The 20,765-nt window shown below is 36.2% G+C and overlaps 1 protein-coding gene, 1 long non-coding RNA gene and 1 pseudogene across 20 annotated transcripts in view, besides 1 other annotated feature; 2 read left to right on the forward strand and 1 right to left on the reverse strand.

The window, feature by feature from the left end:
• The window catches only part of AFTPH (aftiphilin), a 68,678-nt gene that overhangs the window by 44,473 nt on the left and 3,440 nt on the right, over positions 1-20,765 (forward strand). For 2 of the 13 annotated variants that reach the window (NM_001375969.1, NM_001375970.1), the window contains exons 4-9: positions 292-418; positions 823-879; positions 4,146-4,268; positions 10,686-10,746; positions 12,300-12,473; positions 16,622-16,745. In NM_001375969.1, coding sequence (NP_001362898.1) covers positions 292-418; positions 823-879; positions 4,146-4,268; positions 10,686-10,746; positions 12,300-12,473; positions 16,622-16,745 — 666 coding nt within the window. The remainder of the gene's footprint in view (positions 1-291; positions 419-822; positions 880-4,145; positions 4,269-10,685; positions 10,747-12,299; positions 12,474-16,621; positions 16,746-20,765) is intronic. The other 11 variants (NM_001375971.1, NM_203437.4, NM_017657.5 and 8 more) reach the window with 8 other exon arrangements.
• LOC105374773 (uncharacterized) overlaps positions 1-20,765 on the reverse strand; it is a 68,499-nt gene that overhangs the window by 30,060 nt on the left and 17,674 nt on the right. For 4 of the 7 annotated variants that reach the window (XR_007086341.1, XR_007086339.1, XR_007086347.1 and 1 more), the window contains exon 4: positions 7,700-12,541. This is a non-coding gene — a long non-coding RNA (uncharacterized LOC105374773). The remainder of the gene's footprint in view (positions 1-7,699; positions 12,542-20,765) is intronic. The other 3 variants (XR_007086343.1, XR_007086342.1, XR_007086340.1) reach the window with 2 other exon arrangements.
• RNU6-100P (RNA, U6 small nuclear 100, pseudogene) lies at positions 10,092-10,197 on the forward strand (annotated as a pseudogene).
• Positions 13,618-13,677: an enhancer, noted in NCBI's record as "active region_15894". NCBI's record gives its function as "activates an Ori minimal core promoter by ATAC-STARR-seq in GM12878 lymphoblastoid cells {active_cell/tissue: GM12878}" and the evidence as "EXISTENCE:reporter gene assay evidence [ECO:0000049][PMID:35858748]".

A 20,765-nucleotide genomic window follows, 5' to 3' on the forward strand; every position in this document is an offset into this window, starting at 1 on the left:
GGGGTTTCACCATGTTGGCCAGGCTGGTCTAGAACTGCTGACCTCAGGTGATCCGCCTGCCTCGGCCTCCCAAATTGCTGGGATTACAGGCGTGAGCCACCGCACCCAGCCTTAGTTATTTTTCTAGTGACTATAAGTATTGGCTCTTGATTTCATTCAAATAGTTATACACTTACGTTGGACCCAAGAGTAAATGGAATGTGTGTTATGTCACAGCCATATTATAAGTAGAACTCATGGTGAAAGTTATTGAGTAACCTGTTGTTGATGGCTTCATCATGGCCTTTGCAGGGAATTGCTAGATGTGTGGACTGAGCTACAGGATATCCATGATGCACATGGCTTGAGATACCAGTGGGGCGGCTCCCATAGCAACAAGAAGCTTTTGTCCTCCTTGGGAATAGACACCCGAAACATTGTGAGTTTGTTAGTACCTTGAAAAATCTTTTAATCAACCTGTGGATGTTTTAAAATTCTGTCATACTTCTGTTTAAGCTGTGGTAAGCTAGTTCCTCAGAAAATAAATATTTGGTTTAAATGTTCACTTATATTGAATGTGCTGACTTTTAAACATCAGTCTACCTAAATTTTTCTCTAATCAATACTTATTTTTAGAAAAAATTGTTTTAGTAGTTTTTCTTAAATATAAAATGAAGGAATTGGACTGGGAGATAAAATAACCCATATGGGCAATTTTTAAGTTTCATCAATTTATCATTCCCAATATATGTAATAACACATCTCAAGCATATTTGGAAACTATTTCATTGTATGATAGATTATTCTCTAAATATATGTTCTTTCTGTCTAACGTGTGTGTAGCTCTTCACGGGCAATAAGAAGCAGCCTGTTATAGTGCCCATGTATGCAGCAGGATTGGTAAGTACAAAAATCTCTCTGCATGTATTTATCATTACTGCATCTATTCTGTAAAATCATCTTAAAATACACTTCTATGTCATGCTATATAAGAGACATTTAGTGTTGGAATCTGAAGGGTATAAATAGATCTTTTTTGATCTCATAAATCCCATCAAATATTGATCACAGGACTTTTAAAATATTTCATTAATTACAGATACTGTTTTTAGATTGAAAATTTTTATCTTAGTAATATTAGCATATATAACTGTAAAATGCACCTTTGGAGGATTCTTTTTCTTTTCTAAACTTGCTTTAAAGAAAAAGCTGAAGTATCAGAAGGCCTAAAGATATCATTTATTTTAATCCAGTTATTAATTTTAAATGCAATATTGAGGCTATAGATGTACATAAAAGCTTAGAAACACCAAATTATAATGAAATGAAAATGAGCCAGGACTCATAATGGGTTCTTAGTTTTTCCATTAATGTTTTAAATGTGTTGAATTTTGTTTTTTCAGATATGCCAGGTAGTCCCGGAAAACTGAGACATTTTCATTCTGTTCCTTCTCAAGACTCAGTCACATTTTAAAGTTTGATGTTTGTGTTTTTTGGTGTGTATTTTTATCGATGAATAAAAATGCCCCATCAAACTAAAAGCATTACTATAACCGTTAAATTGGAAATAAGGAAAAAATAATGAAGGAATCTTTGGTATAGAATTTATACAATCCATTATGTGCATGTGACAATTTGCTGTGGAACTTGACCTTTAAATCTACAAACTTTCTCCATGAATAAGCACTAATTATTGATTTTGAATTGGAACATTTTGATTTGTTTTGTGGGATTTTCTAGAGTTTTGGTTTTTTTAAAATCTGTTTACTCCTTTGTAAATGGTTATCGTGTACTTTAAAAACATTTTGATGATCCCCACATTGTTTTCTGTTGTAGGTAAATATAATGCTGGACATTTCTTTAACTTTTTGGTTATTTGGATTTCTCTTTTTCTCAAGGAGTAGCAATCCAGAGGTTGTTGATGTTATGGAACTAGGAGTTTAATTTGTAGGCACTTTCATTCAGCATATTAGGGGCAGTGACCTACTTAATGCTTATGCGTAGCCTCAGCCCATTAGCCAGTTCTGTGAGGTTTGTGAGAAGTTAGAGGCTAAAGCTTATGCTTTATTTTTCAACCTTTATTAGTAATATTTTTACTATTTCTATGGACTTTTTTTCCCACTTCTTTCCTCCCCTCCCCCCCCCCCCCACCTTTTTTCCAGTTTTTCACATCTGTCAGCTCATACCTATGGCTACTATTTCTATAAGCTTTAATTCCAAAGTTTATTTAATGAATTTAAATGTATCTCGCCCTCCCCCATCTTTGTGATATCTTTCATTTAGAAACTTTTTTTTAATATCAAGTTTTAATTATAGCTAAATTTACCCATGGTACCTTACACATTTGAGATGTTCAATAATCTTTTGATCTCACCCGGAGAAATAGTACCTGAAGTGATCATTTAAGCCACTGGTTCTCAAACTTTAATGTATATAAGAATCACTTGGAAGACTTGTTAAAACACAAATTGTTGAGCACCGCCCCCCACCCCCCTGTTTCTTTTTCAGTATTTCTGAGGTAGGCTCAAGAATTTGCACGTCTGACAAGTTCCAAGGTGACACAGAAGCTGCTGATTGGGGATCACAATTTGAGAACCACTGCTTAAAGTGATCGTTCAAATTAACAAACTTGGCTGAAACTAGTAATTGTTTGCCAAATGTATCGTCTCTGCATAAGGGCACACCAGAGAGCCTGTATAATACATATGGTATTGAGTTAGACCATGAACTTATTTCATTTTTCTAGCTGCTCGGTTAAAGCCTTTCAGATGTGCTACTGTTAAGAATTGATTCTGCAAACTGTTTTAGTTAGTTTACACCTATTTTATTGGGGAAGGGAGGAGGCAGGGATTCTCCTGAAAATTTTAGAAATTTACAGATTCTAACATTAAAGACTTAGCAGCTTTGAGGTTTTGTTTTTGTTTTTGTTTTTTTGGCCCAGTTAAGGGTGATTTTGTCTAGGATGTAACCTTTGAAAAACATTCAAAAGCTTTTCAGATATTATTTTAAAACATGTAACAGTTTGACTTTTTTCAGGCCTAGATTATGGCCCATTTTGAGTTTGGTAGAGTGTTGATGAAAAATACTGATTTTTTTCCTCTTTATTTCTATAGCCATACTGAACATCTATTTTTCTTACTCAAAAAGCATATTAGGCCGGGCGTGGTGGCTCACGCCTGTAATCCTAGCACTTTGGGAGGCCAAGACGGGTGGATCACCTGAGGTCAGGAGTTCGAGACCAGCCTGGCCAATGTGGAGAAACCCCATCTCTACTAAAAAAAATACAAAAAATTAGTCAGGCATGGTGGTGGACACCTGTAATCTTAGCTACTCGGGAGGCTGAGGCAGGAGAATCGCTTGAACCTGGTGGGTAGAGGTTGCAGTGAGCTGAGATCACACCATTGCACTCCATCCTGGGCAACAGGAGCAAAACTCTGTCTCAAAAAAAAAAAAAAAAGGTGTATTAGATTTGTAACAAACCCTGTGGAACCTGTAAGATGTTCTTCCTCTCTAAAAAGGCTGTATATATCTGCTTTGCCTGTCCAAGGAACTAAGTCTCCAGTGCTGTCATAGAGATCAGGATCAAATATTAAGTTTACACTGAAGGATATAGATGTCATATTATATGGCGTGTTTTACAATCAGCTCTCACTTCTCACCATGGGGTAATGTGTACAAAGGGTGCCGTTTCTTACAATTTTAGTGTCATTAGTGTTGGATTTTTAGAGGTTAGATGTGACATATTGTTGTCTCCCCCCACCCATCCCGAGTTGGTGCTTCTGCTTTCATGTGACAGTAATAATTCTGTACTTTAAAACCTCTGATTTAAAATACAAAGTCTTGCTTTAAAAACTTTTGATTCTAAAGGTATTATTGTGAAATGGTTCTCATTATAGTGCTATAGGATTTTCAGTAAATAAAATTTAAGAATAGCTGGGTGTGGTGGCATCAGCTTGAGGCAAGAGGATCCCTTAAGCCAGGGAGATTGAGGCCAGCCTGGGCAACTAGTGAGACCTTGTCTCTTAAAAAAAAAAAAAGACTAGTTCCTTTTTGTCTTCAGTACTTTCCAAGTGACCTGTTTTTTACCTTCTTCTTTCTGATAGATTAACTTAAGTTTATGGGCTGTGCACCCCCATCCCCATTAAAGGCTAATATTCCTTTTTCAGGGTATGTTAGAGCCCACCAAGGAACCACTGAAACCACTTTCTGCTGCAGAAAAAATAGCTTCCATCGGTCAGACAGCCACCATGTCACCAGATATGAACACATGTACATCTGATCAGTTCCAGGTAAAAATATCTATATGTGTATAAATATGTTTATGCGTGTATATACACATATATCCACACATACTGCCTTTTTCCTTCATTTATGACTGTTTTAAAAATATTTGTAAAGCTTGATTTAATGATGGACATGATTTTGATTAATTAACATCCCTTGGAATACAATGAACAAATTGTCTTTAATTTTCAAAAACAGAAAAGCACAATTTGAGAAATGGGTGATTATGGGTAAGTTCTTAAAACTATCCAGGCCTTAGTCTCTTTATCTATAAATTGAAGGGTTTAAAACAGGTATCTCTAAAGTCCCTTACAGTTTGAATATTGTGTGATCATAATTACTGACACAAATCTGGTAAGTGCTGGGTTTAAAAAAAAAAAAAAAGAAAAGAAAAAAGGAAACACTGTATTTATACCAACTCTATAAGTCTGCTATTGTATGTGTATTTTTTCTGGAATCCTGTGAAATTTTATAAAGCAGTAAAGGTTAGATATGTCCATTGCCTTAAACTTGTTTTTAGAATTTAAGCAAAATGGTTATTTAACTCGAAAATGATGTGACCTTTAACTAAACAATCTATGGATTAGGAAAATAGAAAACTCTTTTTTTTTGGAGATGGAGTCTTGCTGTGTCTCCCAGGCTGGAGTGCAGTGGTATGATCTCGGCTCACTATAACCTCTGCCTCCTGGGTTCAAGCGATTCTCCTGCCTCAGCCTCCCGAGTAGCTGGGACTACAGGTGTGTGCCAACGTGCCCAGCTAATTTTTGTGTTTTTAGTAGAGATGGGGTTTCACCATGTTGGCCAGGCTGGTATTGAACTTATGACAGGTGATCCACCCACCTTGGCTTCCCAAAGTGCTGGGATTACAGGTGTGAGCCATCACACGCAGCCAGAAAACTGTCTTGCCTTTCTTATCCTTTACCTCCTTGGCACACTTAAGCACAAATTTTTTTTCAGACTAATATGTTAATATAAAGTCTTCTCTCACTTTTTGTTCGGGTAAAATGGGCCATTTGGGCTTGCTTACTCTTTCCATATCAAGTTACAAACTGACTCAGTGCTGGTTAAATATTATAGTTTTAGAAGATTAGTATTTTTAAGTGAACATTACCATTTCTAAAACATATTCTTGCCATGTTTTGTCATTTCTTAACCTTAGATGTCATTTTTAATTGTATCTAACACAAAAAGTGTATGCTTGGACAGCCTTTCCCAAAATGTGTTCCCATTGAACATTAATCCCCAGAGGTGGTCCACTGAAGGGTTCCAGGGTAAAGTAAGTTTGGGAAATACTTCATATCATACCCCCATAACCACCCTTAGAGATCACAACACACATTAAGGACATTGAAGAGTCCTGCAATGAATGGCCTTAATTTTAATTCATTTCTCAAATTTACTTGGCCACAGGACCTTTTATTGCAGAGATCAGAGGAGAGGGGAGTGGTAGCACCTGCAGAACTAGTGTTTTGAAGAACATACTTTAGAAAATGTGTAAAGCATAGGTCCTGCCATTTTAGGTGTGTTTCAAGAAACATCTAATATTACTGCTGTGTACCACTGTGTTTTATACTTGGGCATAGCTTAAATGTTACTTTGAAGCCAGCTTATTACTAGCACTGAATTAGTGGGCCAGAGGACCTTGATGTTTACAATGCCTGGCCTTGATGGTTGGGCAGCAGACAAAGTGGCTTGGGCAGAATGTCTCCGTAGGTAGAATCTGTTCTTAGTTACCTTAATTTTGCTGCCCTGATACGCCCTCTGGCTATAAACTGCTATCCCAGGTCTGCCCTGTCTATGCATATTTCAGAATTACCTTTCCCACGGCACATTTTTATTTCTGCCTCCATCTGCATTCTTATTCCTACAGTGTTAGGTATTAGGAAAGTATTTTGAGTAACTACTTGGTACATTCATACTTGGTACATTCACTGAAAATGGAGCTGTACTTATTGAGACCATTTGTTGCTAGTTTTGCTTGCTTCCTCCTCCATCTAACCACTTCCACCTTACAACCCCATAAACTATTGCTTATTGTATCAGTTAGCTGTTGCCTGTAATTTTTTCCTCTAGCTGATTTGATCTTACTGTGTATTTCATTTTAGTCATAGCTTATCATGTTTCTTTTATAATTTCACTATGGACTTGACAAAAAAGTAGTCCAGATGACCTAATGAAAAACATGTTTAGAATTTTGTGCTAAGATGCCTGACCTCCATCACAGAATTGTATGGTCCTTGCTTGACTCCATACCTCTGACTCAGGTTAAAATATTTAACAGAGCAGGCTTGGTGGCTCATGCCTGTAATCTCAGCACTTTGGGATGCCAAGGCAGGTGGATTGCTTGAGCCCAGGAGTTCGAGACCAGCCTAACCAACGTGGCAAAACCCTGCCTCTACAAAAATTAGCCAGGCATGATGGCATGAGCCTGTAGTCCCAGCCTCTAAGGAGGCTGAGGTGGGAAAATCACTTGAGCTCAGAAGCTTGAGGCTGCAGTGAGCCATGTTCACACCAGTGCACTCCAGCCTAGGCAACAGAGTAAAACCCTGCCTCGAAAAAAAAAATTTAACAAACATCTGAAGTACATTTTCTAAAGAGTCTCTTTACAGAAAATTTTATATATATATGTATGTGTGTATATGTGTGTGTGTGTGTGTGTGTGTGTGTGTGTGTGTGTGTATATATTTTTTTTGGAGGTAGAGTCTTGCTCTGTCACCCAGGCTGGAGTGCAGTGGCATGGTTTCAGCTCACTGCAACCTCCACCTCCCGGGTTCAAGTGATTCTCCTGCCTCAGCCTCCCACGTAGCTGGGACTACAGGCACACACCACACCACCAGACTAATTTTCGTATTTTTAGTAGAGACAGGGTTTCACCATGTTGGCCAGGCTGGTCTCCAACTCCTGACCTCAAGTGATCTGCCCACCTCAGCCTCCCAAAGTGCTGGGATTACAGGCGTGAGACATCGCACCCGGCCTAGAAAATATTTCTTACCACTCTTCTTTGGCATGCTACACACACACACACACACACACACACACACACACACACACACACGTGTGTCATACAAATGAAATACGTGTGTGTGTGTGTGTATGTATATATATATGGATTTACATATACATATATATATATAACATATATATATATGTAAATATATGTAATTTTACTTTTTGGCCATGCAGGAAGTTACATCTTCCTACGCCCCTAGCCTTTAGTGCTAGAAGCAACAGTGGCTTTCAAACTTAGCACAAGCACAATTGTATAATTCCCCTTATGACTGCATGCTTTTGGGTCTGTCTGTCCTATCCCAATTTTGGTACCCATTGAGTTTGTTTTTATCTTCCAAATTGGCTTGTATTCATTGATCTTATAACTATTGCATCTCTTGTTTAGAAATTTATTAACTTAGTTTAAGGGTGAAAACAGTAATTTTACCTTTTTTGGGATTGTGTGTGTGTTTTCATTTTTATCTGCTGAATTTCAAGGTCACACCATTGTGCCACTACTGATTTCCCTCTTAGTAAGGTCAATACTTTACACTTTATTCATTGCTGAGTAGGGTCAACACTCTGACTGGCAGTTATCCATCTAGTCACCGGTAGCAACTTCTCTTAGACTGCCTGATGTATTTTAGTTGTGAATCAGAATTTTAGAGCTAGAAAAGAAAAAATGATTATGTAGTTCCATGCTCACTTTTTTTTTGTTGTTTTTGAAACAAGAGTTTTGCTCTGTTGCCCAGGCTAGAGTGCAATGGCGCAGTCTCAGGTCACTGCAACCTCTGTCTCCTGGGTTCAAGCGATTCTCCTACCTCAGCCTCCTGAGTAGCTGGGATTGCAGGCACCTGCCACCACACCTGGCTAATTTTTATATTTTTAGTAGAGACGGGGTTTCACCATGTTGGCCAGGCTGGTCTCAAACTCCTGACCTCAAGTGATCCACCCACCTTGGCCTCCCAAAGTGTTGGGATTACAGGTGTGAGCCACCGCGCCTGGCCACCATGCTCACTTTTTACAGCATTGGAAAGGCTAAGTGATTTACCCAAAACCATGTATTAGTGGTACTGCTAGGACTGGAATCCAAGCCTCCTGTCTCCATGTTTTTGTTCTTTTTTATTGTGACCTTATTTGCCTAGTGCTTTTATCTCTGCAGTAATAATTCATACCACATTGCTTCAAGTGGTTTTAAAATGCTTCATTCTCAAGCTTTCTCTGAGTTTCCATACTTGTATACTTGTGAACATCATTAGTTTTAGTCTTTTTTTGCTTCGGTATCCTGTTTTTCACCTTTTTCATTTCCGTTAAATGTCGATTCGTGTTTATCACCTCATTATGATTTTGGCTGTCTTCAAAATACCATACCCCTGTTTGAGCAGCTCAGATTTCAGCAAATCATTAAATCATTGAAATATTTCTAAGCACCCAGCTACTTGACATCATTCAGATAGAATGTGTTCATGAAAGAACTTGCTCCATTTATTCAGAAATCGTTATTGTATAAACCTAGATTTTGTCCATTCATTCAGTGTTGAATATGCCCAAAGGTGTCACTGATCTAGAAGTGGAGTAAGTTGAATCTGCTAGAATGCTTAGAGATGTTTGTTTCCTTTTATGATCAGCTAAAGAAGATATTTCTAAATATTTATTAGCTGTGCAGGTAGGTTATAAACTAGGTTTTCAGCAGTTTTTTAACTTTTATCTGAAATAATTATAGATTCATAGGAAGTTGCAACTGTAGTACAGAGAAGTCCCTTGTACCCTTCACCAGTTTCCTCCATGGTTACATCTTACATAATATGCTATAATGTGAAAACCAGGAACATGACATTGGTACAATATGTGTATATAGTTCTATATCATTATATCACATAGGTAGATTCCTGTAACCACCACCACCAGTCAAGATACAAAACTCTTCCACCACCACCATTAAGAACACCCTTAATAGTCACTGCCCCACAACCATCCCTATCCCATCCCTTACACCCACTAACTAATGTTAGTATTTTACTTGGTTTATACCTTGCTCCAGGCTGGACCTGATTTTTGGAGACTAAATACTTAAATTAATTTGCCTGTCATTGGTATCCCAGTTATCCAGACAGTCGTATTATAATATCATGGAGTTAGACTTTACAAAAATAACTGATTCATGCTCCTTTTCTATAAAAAACAGCAAGTGATCTTACCTACCTACGCAGAAAAAAATATAAAGTTTTAACAGTGCCTGCCTTACAATAAAGCGTAGTGGTAAGCGATGTCCAAAAAAAGACGATAACATTTTGATATCAAAAGTCTAATAAAATACAGGTTATTTTAACACCATCCCCAAAAGAAAAGAAAAAAACAACCAACATTTTTTCATGTAAGAATATTCTTAAAATGAAGTGTGAATGCTTATTTTAAAAATGTGTTTGCACTGCCTTCCATCTTAAATTTACCATTTGCTTATTTTATATGTTTGACAGTTACGAAATTTAAACCCCTGGAATAGTGAATTTTTTTTTTTTTTTTTAAACAGTCTCACTCTGTCGCCCAGGCTAGAGTGCAGTAGTGGCACGATCTCGGCTCACTGCAACCTCCACCTCCCGGGTTCAAGCAATTCTCCTGCCTCAGCCTCCCAAGTAGCTGGGATTACAGGCGTGTGCCACCATGCCTGGCTAATTTTTTTTTATTTTTAGTAGAGACAGGGTTTCACTGTGTTAGCCAGGATGGTCTCGATCTCCTGACCTCGTGATCTGCCCACCTCGGATCCCAAAGTGCTGGGATTACAGGCGTGAGCCACCGTGCCCTGCCTGAGCATCCCTTGAGTGTATTGTTTTTAAAATTCTATGCTCGCTTCAGCAGCACATTATAAAATTTGGCAAGGTCAGAGGAGATTAGCATTGCCCCAGTACAAGGATGACACCCACAATTAAATTCTGGTATCTAATAAGTAATTTCTAAATGAAAGAAGTTGATTAAAATAGATATTTTAAGTCAACACTTTAAAAATGTCTTATTAGCCCATAATTTTCAAAATCTGGAAAATTGTAAGGAACCAGACAGACCTTAGACTTTGAATCTTCTTGTTTTATACCATGTTTTAATTTTTATTGTAATCACATCAATAGTTGAAATCATGATTTGAGAATAGATTGAAATCTTGACATAGAATCAGTTCATAAATTTGTTTAAAAATGTAAAGATAATTTCATTTCCCAGATACAACTTTTTAAATGTCAATAACCTGTACTGTTTGTAAATTTTGCAATTTCAGTTTGTGCTGATATTTGCAGGTAACCTTCTGAAATTGTAAATTATCCCAATTTTGTCTTTAGGTACTTTGTTGCCTAATGGTCTTGCTATAATTTTTTTTTTTAAGGATTCTTTACGTTGCTACAACCTGTACTGATTAATTTTGATTTTTTGGTTTTCAACTCTAGGAGTCTCTACCACCCGTCCAGTTTGACTGGAGTAGCAGTGGCCTTACTAACCCTTTAGATGGTACGTCTCTCCGTAGAGCCTCTAGCACCAGAGCTAGAGTTAAGAAAGCTACAAAGTTCAGACAAACTTCTCTCTGCTGATTTCCTTTTTTGTTTGAACATAACTTATTCTTATCTTTGGAAATTCAGGCTTTCTTTCTGAACAGTAATTGCTCAAGAAACCAGCCGTTACTATTATCAACAGTATTAATGTCCAAATATAGGTAATAGTAGTTAGGTAAAATTTTAGTTTCAGTCAAAAGTAAGCTTCTTTATTTTTTACAAATATCTAGGTAGTTTAAAAGGTATTTTAGCTAGGACCAATTTACCTTGAATTTTTTTCTGTAAGTTTTAATTTTTGGAATTTTCTTGGATGCAAAGTCTTGTGACTAGAGGCTGCTTCAAAGCACAAAGCACAATTATTTAGCCAAAAACAGTGTGCATAGATCCATGTTTATTGACTCAAAGTAGTTTTTAGATTTAATATTTTATAGAGCACCTATATGCAAATAGAAAATAAATTTCACGATCCTTTTCTAAAGCGTGTCTCCAAATGTTAGTAGGCAGTTCTAAAAATAATTGGTTTCACTTATGGCTTTAAAAGAAAATCCTCAAAAAGGAATAACTTATTTCAGTAATGTAATGTGGGCTCTTTAAAATAAGTAACACACCAATGTTAGTTTCTAGTATTGACACCACAAGTTTTAAGTGGATCCCAAGATGTAATTGCTCTTACTGCTTGTGCTTAAGTTGTTCGAGCCATTGTCTAAACACCTATCATTGTCTAAATGGCAATTATTTTGCCATTGTAAAAAAACACTATCAGCTTGGCCTTATAGTGGGGTCCTAGGATATCTGGAAAGCATCCAATTGAATTAATATAGTGCTGAAGGAAAGCCTGGATGCACTTTTTGCTGTTGTCTGGTGTCTTCAGTCAAATCAGATATCTGGAAAGCATCCAATTGAATTAATATAGTGCTGAAGGAAAGCCTGGATGCACTTTTTGCTGTTGTCTGGTGTCTTCAGTCAAATCATCATGCTTTTTATTAACAAACAACTTCTTTAAAAATGTATACTATTTCTGATTACTGTTTCAGAGTTAAAGGGGAACAGTACAGCTTGAGGTTGCACATCAGGGTAGGGTAGTTATGACATTCTTTATTATGTTATTTTATTTTAAACTAAGTTAACACATTGGTGCGTGTCCTGAAACTGACAACTTTGTCACTTTTTAAAAAGCATTAATTAGAAACCAATATTACTAACATGAAAGATTGATTTGGGCATGTACAGTGATTTTTAATGTTGGGTTGAGATTAAAGTATTGTTTCCCTTTAACGGGTACGCATTCCTTTCGGTCTTTCTGGTATGGCTTCCAGTTTTGATTGAAGCAACTGAACTCCTAAAACCTTACTAAGTGTTACATTCTTTACATTGTACATGAGAAAATGTACATTGAATTAAATTGTTATTTTAGAAATGTCCTTAGTAATGAAAAGCTAATACTGTACACATTGTTTTAATGTTGATTTTTAAAATGTGTAATGATTACTAATTATAACCTGCATGTTCAAGTGTGTGTCTTACCCCTTTTTACACATAACCCCTCCTCCCTTGGCTTACCTTCTGTGTGGCTGCCTACCAACACGGTCACTGAATTTCAAGCTAGTGGAGGTTCCACTCTTCTGAACCTTGATTTCTTTGGGCCCGTGGATGACAGTAGCTCTAGCAGCAGCACCACAATCCCAGGTCAGCAGAGTGTTAAAACCACAATTCCAGTTTATTTACTAAAAGCATGACCACATCACTTGACTTTCCTATAAACAAGGAAACAAGTAGATTGTATTCTCTATAATGTCTTTTTAATACTTTTCTTTCATCTGTTGTTATTTTCTAGTATCTGATTACAAAAAAATGACTTATGTATTTCAAGGAAAACTTTCTAATATTCAAAGCTGAAAGTAGTTTCTAGGAATAAAACATCCCTAATGTCCTTAGACAGTTAAAGGCAGGGCTGTTGGTTTTTTTTTCCTCTAAGTGGAAAATGTGATATTTTATATGCTTATTTTTAAAAGCATATTCTATAAAGCCATTTGAAAAAAATACAAGTTTAGAGATAGATAGAATATTTTAGTATACAAAGATGACTTTACATTGTAGTGCCTGTAATAATATAACCTTTACAAATTCCAGCATTCAATTAGTTGTTTATTAGTGCTGCTAAATATATAATTGGGTTCCAAAATGTTGGAGTCTAGCACTAAGTATATAGTCCCACATAGAACTATTTCTGTTTTTATGTAGCTCTTAAATAGAAAGTATACTGTTAGTTTTCCATGGGAAAAAAAATGTTACAAAAGTTAATAGTAGAAAATAATTGCTATGAGATACTAAAAGCTAGAGATTAAAACTTACTGGAGTGCCTGTTAATGTTCAGCCCTGCAAAAGTTCAGTTCATTGACCAAAGGACTAATGTACTTTGTCACTTTCTAACTGAATAAAAGATTAAAATTATAATGGCATTTTTATGTTTACATTTTATTCAATATTAATAACTGTCATCCCAACAGGTGATCTGGTAATCATGTCCATTGATCACCAGACAGCTGTTGGGGTGCCGTAGAGATGCCCATGCCCAGAATGCATAGTGAGAGTCCCTTTCTGTCCCCACTAGTGGCCAGATTCACAACTAGCCTGGTTCCTGAGAATTCACTGGTTTTGTGCTATTCCACTAGATAGTGCTACCACCCACTTCCAACAGTTGAGCAGCCATGATGGGCTGTGGATGGGGGAGACTAACAGTCAGCTCAGAGTGAACCTGGGACCTAGGATGCCCTTCTTGAGATCTGGTTATGCAAATCTGATTCTGCTGCAGGGAAGTTCCAAGGTCATTTGGTATAGAATGACTGGATTCCTCAAATCCAAGCCCCTGGTTATTCTTACTGTTTTCAAGATTTTGCAAGCATATAAAAAACCAATCTGTCTGGTTTTGACTTCAAAATGATATTGTACTATTTACTTAAATTACTTCTAAATTTACATTTGATCTGTGCAGTGACCTGGGTGAGCTAATTGTCTGACATTTTAGAATACTTACGGGGGGGTAGGAGGGACAACCAAAAACATGTATATCTTTTTGTTACTGTATTCCCAAGAATTATTAAGCTCCCATTTTAAATTTGCTCTCAGCTTTGTTTTGTCATAAACTGTATTATAATTTGAATGAGGTCACTGTTTTTCTTTTGGATCCCTAAAAACCTGGTTTAAATTTAATTTTTGGTTACATTTCAAACTCATTTAAAAACCATTCATAGGAGCACAAATAACGTGGCTATATAAAGAAGTACAGAAATGACCTGATAATCAGGCTCAGTGTACACAGCTGCGAGAAGAGCAAGCGGTTTCAGAAGCTTAGAGCTGTAATGGAAGTGAAATCAGCATGGTCAAATGCAGTTCTCATTACTTTGGAGCCTTTTAAATATTTTTGTTCAATATTTTCATTAATATGCTCTAGATGCTATATAAATTTGATTACTATATATTTGCTTTGGCTTCTTTTTATTGCTATTGGGTTTTGTTAAAAGTTACCATCAAGCTACAGGTATCAACACCTTCCTTAGTATTCCATTTCATCACTTGCTTGCATTTTTTCTGACTTGTTTCTGGGAAAGTCATTTCGTCTTAGCTTGCGGTTATTTAATTATTTTGTGTGTGAGACTTAGGAGGTTGGCATAGAACTTGGTTGGCTAGCTTTAGTTATGTAACTAAACCATGCCTCATTAAGGCTCTGTTAAAAAAAAAAAAAAGACCTTCCATTAAAAAAATTACTCTCCAATTATTAAATAGTTGTCTTGTTTTTGAAAAATCTAATCATAGTTTTGGGGGGGGTTTTGGTGTGGTGGTAGTTATTTGGGGGTGTGATTTTGTTGTCTTTTTTTTTAATCTGCCTCTTTACTGTTTGACAGTCAAGTGGCCAGTATTTTATAAACCCAACTAAGTTTTTACTAGCACTTACCTATTGCCAGTCAGAATGCAGTTATTTATTCTGCCTTATACACTAGACAGCAACTTAAATTTTGTGGTTGCTGGAATCTAGCCTTTAGAGAGGGAGGTACTTTGGGCTCATGTAGTCCCTTTACAGACATATACAATTTTTTACATTTTAATTGCAACCCATATTCTTATTACAGGAACACAAAGGAAAGTCCTTTTAAAGTATATTTTGAAACCGTACCTTAATGAAATACTGAGAACTTGGGAGAGTCAATATACATTTTCTATAGCCTTCCTCCCTTGTTAGACTTCGTAACTGTGGAAGTCGCTTTTGCTTGTCTGATTTCTGTAAACATCTGAGATCTGTGTTTACTTCTGTAAAGTTGGTTAATAGAAGTCAGTTTCTGATTTTTTAATTTTTTAATATGTTAAGTATCTTAAAAGGAAAAAAACTTGTTAATCTAAATATATGCATTTATATATGTTATTTATATATAACTTGATCTGCTGATCTTACAGGGCATTTTTTTAAAGAAATAATAAGTAAAAATTTCAGAAGCTCTAAGACATTCTTCCTTAGAATTTTGCTTTGCTGTTAACGCCCGGCAACTCATGAACTTTTTTTCTCAAGTTATTTGCTGGTACCAGGAGAGTGTAGGATTAAAAATTTTTTTTTTTACTCTGAATATTATTCAAAGTGTAACTTAAGTTTAAAATATTTAAACTGTTCTTTTTAATGTTATTGTTGTCATCATTGCTATAAATCTGTATTACATGAGAAATACACAAAGTTATATGTATTTTAATGCAGTCAGATGGGGGAGATTTTTTAAATCAATTTTTGCAATAAATCTAACCCTCTGAGCTTCCTTTTGAATTACTCTAACAAGATATTTGAACTAATGACTACCAGATTCAGACATGAGACTACAGAAATTAACCCTGTAGACAAGAATTTTCATTTTGTTCAAAAGTAGTACTTTTACTCACCTTTTCTGAAAATCTTTTACCCTCCCCACCTCTAACCTGAAGAAAGAGCTATGTGGTATATGTTTATGATTAGTCCTTAGTCATGATTTTTTTTTTTTTTTTTTTTTGAGACGCAGTCTTGTTCTGTCACCCAGGCTGGAGTGCAGTGGCGTGATCTCGGCTCACTGCAAGCTCCGCCTTCCGGGTTCATGCCATTCTCCTGCCCCAGCCTCCTGAGTAGCTGGGACTACAGGCGCCCACCACCATGCCCGGCTAATTTTTTGTATTTTTAGTAGAGACGGGGTTTCACCGTTTTAGCCAGGACGGTCTTGATCTCCTGACTTTGTGATCTGCCCGCCTCGGCCTCCCAAAGTGCTGGGATTACAGGCGTGAGCCACCGCGCCTGGCCAGTCATGATATATTTAAACTAACCAGATCATTTACCATGTTTGAGACTTTGTGGTAGCTTCTAAATCTTTTTCTGTGGAAGAAAATAGAGAAAAAATAAGGAGGTGAGGAAACAGGAAAATTTTTAAAATGAGATTAGTTAATTGAAAAATGGGGTGTCACATCATGTGCATTCTATTTATAAAACATTGATAATTTTATATCACATCCTAATCCAAATTGGGGGAGTTTTCTATAGCAGATAGAAATTTTAGAAGTATTTGGGTAGCATCTGCTGCATAAATGCTAGCTTAAGGATATATTCGTTCCAAAATGGAATTTGAAAAGTCTTTTCCTGTTTTATAAAAACTCCAAAAAGTGGAGTTTATACTGTAAAAAATAAATGCAGTATTGCAGTGTTCTAAAGATATGTTCTGTTTGTAAAACACTCAGATGTTTACAGAATATTGCCTTTTGCATCTTGGATTGTGGCTAACTGGGTAACCCATTGCAGCCTGCCATCACTGACTATCATTTTATACTATAAGGTGTGGATCCGGAGTTGTATGAGTTAACAACTTCTAAGCTGGAAATCTCCACCTCAAGCCTCAAAGTGACTGATGCATTTGCAAGACTCATGTCTACAGTAGAGAAGACAAGCACATCTACCAGGTAAATAAATAGTGTCAATTATACCCACATTTTGAATTCTGAGATAAAACGACCCAAAGGAAAAAGCATGTCAGTTGACAGCATTTCAATATATTATATCACAACTTGCTTTATAAAAGTCAGTCGATGCCCAAGTCCAGAAAATATTATCAAATTATGTTTAATTATGAACTTTATTAGAACAGGATTATTTCATAAGAGATTGGCCAAGGCTGACAGATGTGGTTTTCTTCCCCCACCCCCTGCCCCCCCACCTCACTTTGTAGAGACTAATTCTGATTAAGTATTGTGATCATAAAGCCATTATAGAAACACTCTCCCTTTCTCTTCATAATTACTGAGAAGATCATCTTTGAGAACCCAGTTTTGTAATCCTGGAGTCACCTAGGCTGATCTTTTTACTTGCAGGCTAAGATGGTTCTTGGAATTTTCATTGACATGCACCTCTGATTTGGGAGGTAAAGCCTTACTTTACCAGGCTTTCTAGAAGCCCCTTCAGAGGCATGGCCTATTGAAGAGCAATTACCATCTCCCTGTGTTGGAACTAAAGGCACGGAATGTCACTCGGGCCATGTGTTTGCGATTCAGAGAATCTTTAGTTTCATATGATTAGGCTAGTACAATCCATTGCTTTGAGTTATTGTTAACCATAAGACTAAGCCAGTTTCTAACAGGAAGATACTATTCTGAACCAGGAAATCACTAGTGCAAAAGCAAATACTGGTTGATTGACACGCCAGCTCTGCTGTCTCAAATCTGTGATGCATCAGCATTTTAAAGTGGAACTATTTACCTATTAGTTGCCTACTTTAAAAGAAGTGTTATAGCTCTTTCTCCTGAATAAATACATCCCAATCACATGTTAAATTCAGGTTTATATTTTAAATAGATTCTTCTATAGAAAGACATCCATTTAAAAAAGCCTTTTTTATTGTGAATAATAAATGTTTCTCTCTCTTAACTTTAGCTTGAATTATCATATTGTCTTTTAAACTTTGTGTGCTTTTATTCCCCCAGATTTTTCTTATTGCCTTTAATATTTATAATTATGAAATACATTATTATACATTAGACTACCCTTAACTTTTCCCTAGAATGGCTTTGTAGCATGTAAATCCTTGTTTGTCTGCCAGTTCTCTCCATTGTTCTCATAGCCCCATGTCTTTGCAGTATGCCACCTGGCATTGCCAAAGCCTCCTCTTCAATGAACCTACTTGTAAATGTGGCTATGTGGCTTTTTTTAAATTTTTTTCTTTCCAAATAAATCACTTCTTCAAATCGAAACTCCTCTCATAGAAAAAAATGGATGAGAAATTTGTATATGTTAACTAAAAGCTAACACACATTTGACTTAAAAACCAAAAAGGATGCTTTTATTGTTTGGGTTTCCCCCTGCTATTTTTAGGACAACCCTTTCTGGGACAGTTCTACTCTTTCCTTCCTTTGTTTCCCCTGCAGTCTCACTGACCAAAGAACTATAGAAGTTTTGAAAATCCCAATGATGAGAATTCATTTCGTGCCATTAGGAGGAGCTCTAAACCACCTTAACTTGTTCTCCTAATTCGTTAACTCATCCTTGAAACATGCTGAATCTAGAGAACTCTTCCAAGCCCTATCACTTTAAGAAGCTATTTTCATTTTTTCTCTTGTTCTATACTAATAGGGAATGAACTAATAATGTATCCTGGAGTTAATGTCTGCTAATTCTGTATTGAGTTACTCGCTAGGACCTGTCCAGCATCATATTTAAAACAAAATAAATTGGAGAGAACAGGTTGCCAACTTTGTATTTTCTGTTTTGAGAAATGTCATTTGAAAATGGTAAAAAAATACAAATGCCCGCAAGTCTTAAAATACTGTAAAATGTCCCAACGAGTGATTCTCAATCGTACAGAGCAGAGACAGGCTGGTAGCATAATTTCAGAAAGCATTTTTAGTATCTTATTTTTAGGTTTTCTTTCATTTTTCTCTTGAATAAAGTAAACTGCAAAAAATAAAGCTCAGCAAAATCTTCTTGGCTATTGCCAATAAGCAGAAGATAAAGTGAAAAGGCATTTTGATAGACTATAGGGTAAGAAGGAGTTAAACAGTGGTCAAGGTAGAAGAAATTTGACATGGACCAAACAATATCCAGTACTCTTTACTAAGTGCCTTTGAGTGTCTCAGGGAATTTATATGTGCTCTTCTCTTTTGGAACACAAGTTGTGAAAGTGACTTCTCACTTTGAGTTTTTTAAAGAAGTGCAAGTTCTTAGTTTTAAAATAGTTCCATCTTCTTGCCTAACTTTCCTAATATGGAGGAAAATTACTTCCTATTCTAAATCACTACTAATTAGTGACAGCTAGTTAGTAGCCATAGACCTGTAACTGAAGTTTATGCAGGTCAAAGAAATTTTATTCTTTTTTAGGCCTTTTTATTGAGATAAAAATTTATAATTCATTCAGGTGTTCAATTCACTGGTTTTTAGTATATTCACAAGGTTGTGCAACCATCATCACTATCTAATTCCAAAACATTTTTATCACCCCAAAAAGAAACCCTGTACCCATTAGCAGTCACTCCTTATCCCTCTCGTTCCCCAGGCCCTGGCAACTACTAATCTGCTTTCTGTCTCTACAGATTTGTCTTTTCTGGTTATTTCATATAGATGGAATTCTATAGTCTGCAGCCTTTTGTGTCTCGGTTTTGCTTAGCATTCTGTTCTCAAGTTCATTCATGTTGTAGTATGTATCCGTATTTGTTTTTTGGCTGCATAATATTTCATTGGAAATAGCACATTTTGCTTTTCCATTAATCAGTTGATAATTGGGTTGTTTTCACTTTTTGACTATTATGAGTAGTGTTGCTGCTGTGAACACTTGTGTATACGTTTTTGTGTGGACAGATGTTTCCAACTCTGTTAGGAGTGGAATTTCTGGGTCTTATAGGAACTCTAACTTCTTTGGGGAACTGCCAAACTTTTCCAAAGTGATGGCACCATTTTACATTCCCACCAGTAATATACATTCCAAGTTCTCCACATTCTTACCAACACTTGTTATTGGTCTTTTTGGTTATAGCCATCCCAGTGGGTTTGAAGTGATATCTCATTGACATTTTTGTTTGCATTTCCCTGATAGCTAATCATGTTGAGCATCTTTTCATGTGTTTATCGACTATTTGTATATCTTCTGTGGAGAAATATCTGTTCAGATCCTTTGCCTTTTTTGTTTTTGTTTTAGTAGAGACAAGGTCTCAGTATGTTGCCCCAGGCCGGTCTTGAACTCTTGAGCTCAAGCGATCTCCCTCCTCAGCCTCCCAAAGTATTGAGATTACAGGCATGAGCCACTGTGCCCAGCCATTTGCCTATATTTTAATTGGATAATTTGTCTTTTTATTGTTAGGTTGTAAGATTTTTAAGTATATTCTGGATACTAAGCCTTTATCAGAGAAATGATTTGAAGATATCTTTTCCAATTCTGCAGGTTGTCTTTTCATTATCTTGATAGTATTCTTTGACACACAAAAGCTTTTAATTTTGATAAGATCTAATTTTTCTTGTGATTTAGGTATCATATCTAAGAAATCATTGCCCAATTCATGGTCACAAAGATTTATACCTAGATTTTCTCCTAAGAGTTTTATAATTTCAACTCTTACATTTAGGTCTTTAATCCATTTTGAATTAATTTCTGTATATGGTATGAGGTAGGAGTCCACATTCATTCTTGTGCAGGTGGATATCCAGTTGTCTGAAAACTGTTGAAATGATTTCCCCCACTGAAAGGTTTTGGCACATTTGTCAAAAACAAAAATTAAAAAACAATTGATCATGTTTTTTTCCTGGACTCTCAATTATATTCTCAATTATATTCCATTGATAAAAAGGATAAATCTTCACTAGAGAGGAATAGATCAAAATTAGGTCACTGCCTTTGAGAAATGATCATGATATAACTTTTTATTTTCAAATTCTCCTTAAGTGTTTGCTTCTTCCCATATTCTAAGAAGACTAGCTCACACCCATGCACAATGACCACA

This window comes from Homo sapiens, chromosome 2, assembly GCF_000001405.40.
Source record: "Homo sapiens chromosome 2, GRCh38.p14 Primary Assembly".
Classification (NCBI taxonomy): domain Eukaryota; kingdom Metazoa; phylum Chordata; class Mammalia; order Primates; family Hominidae; genus Homo; species Homo sapiens.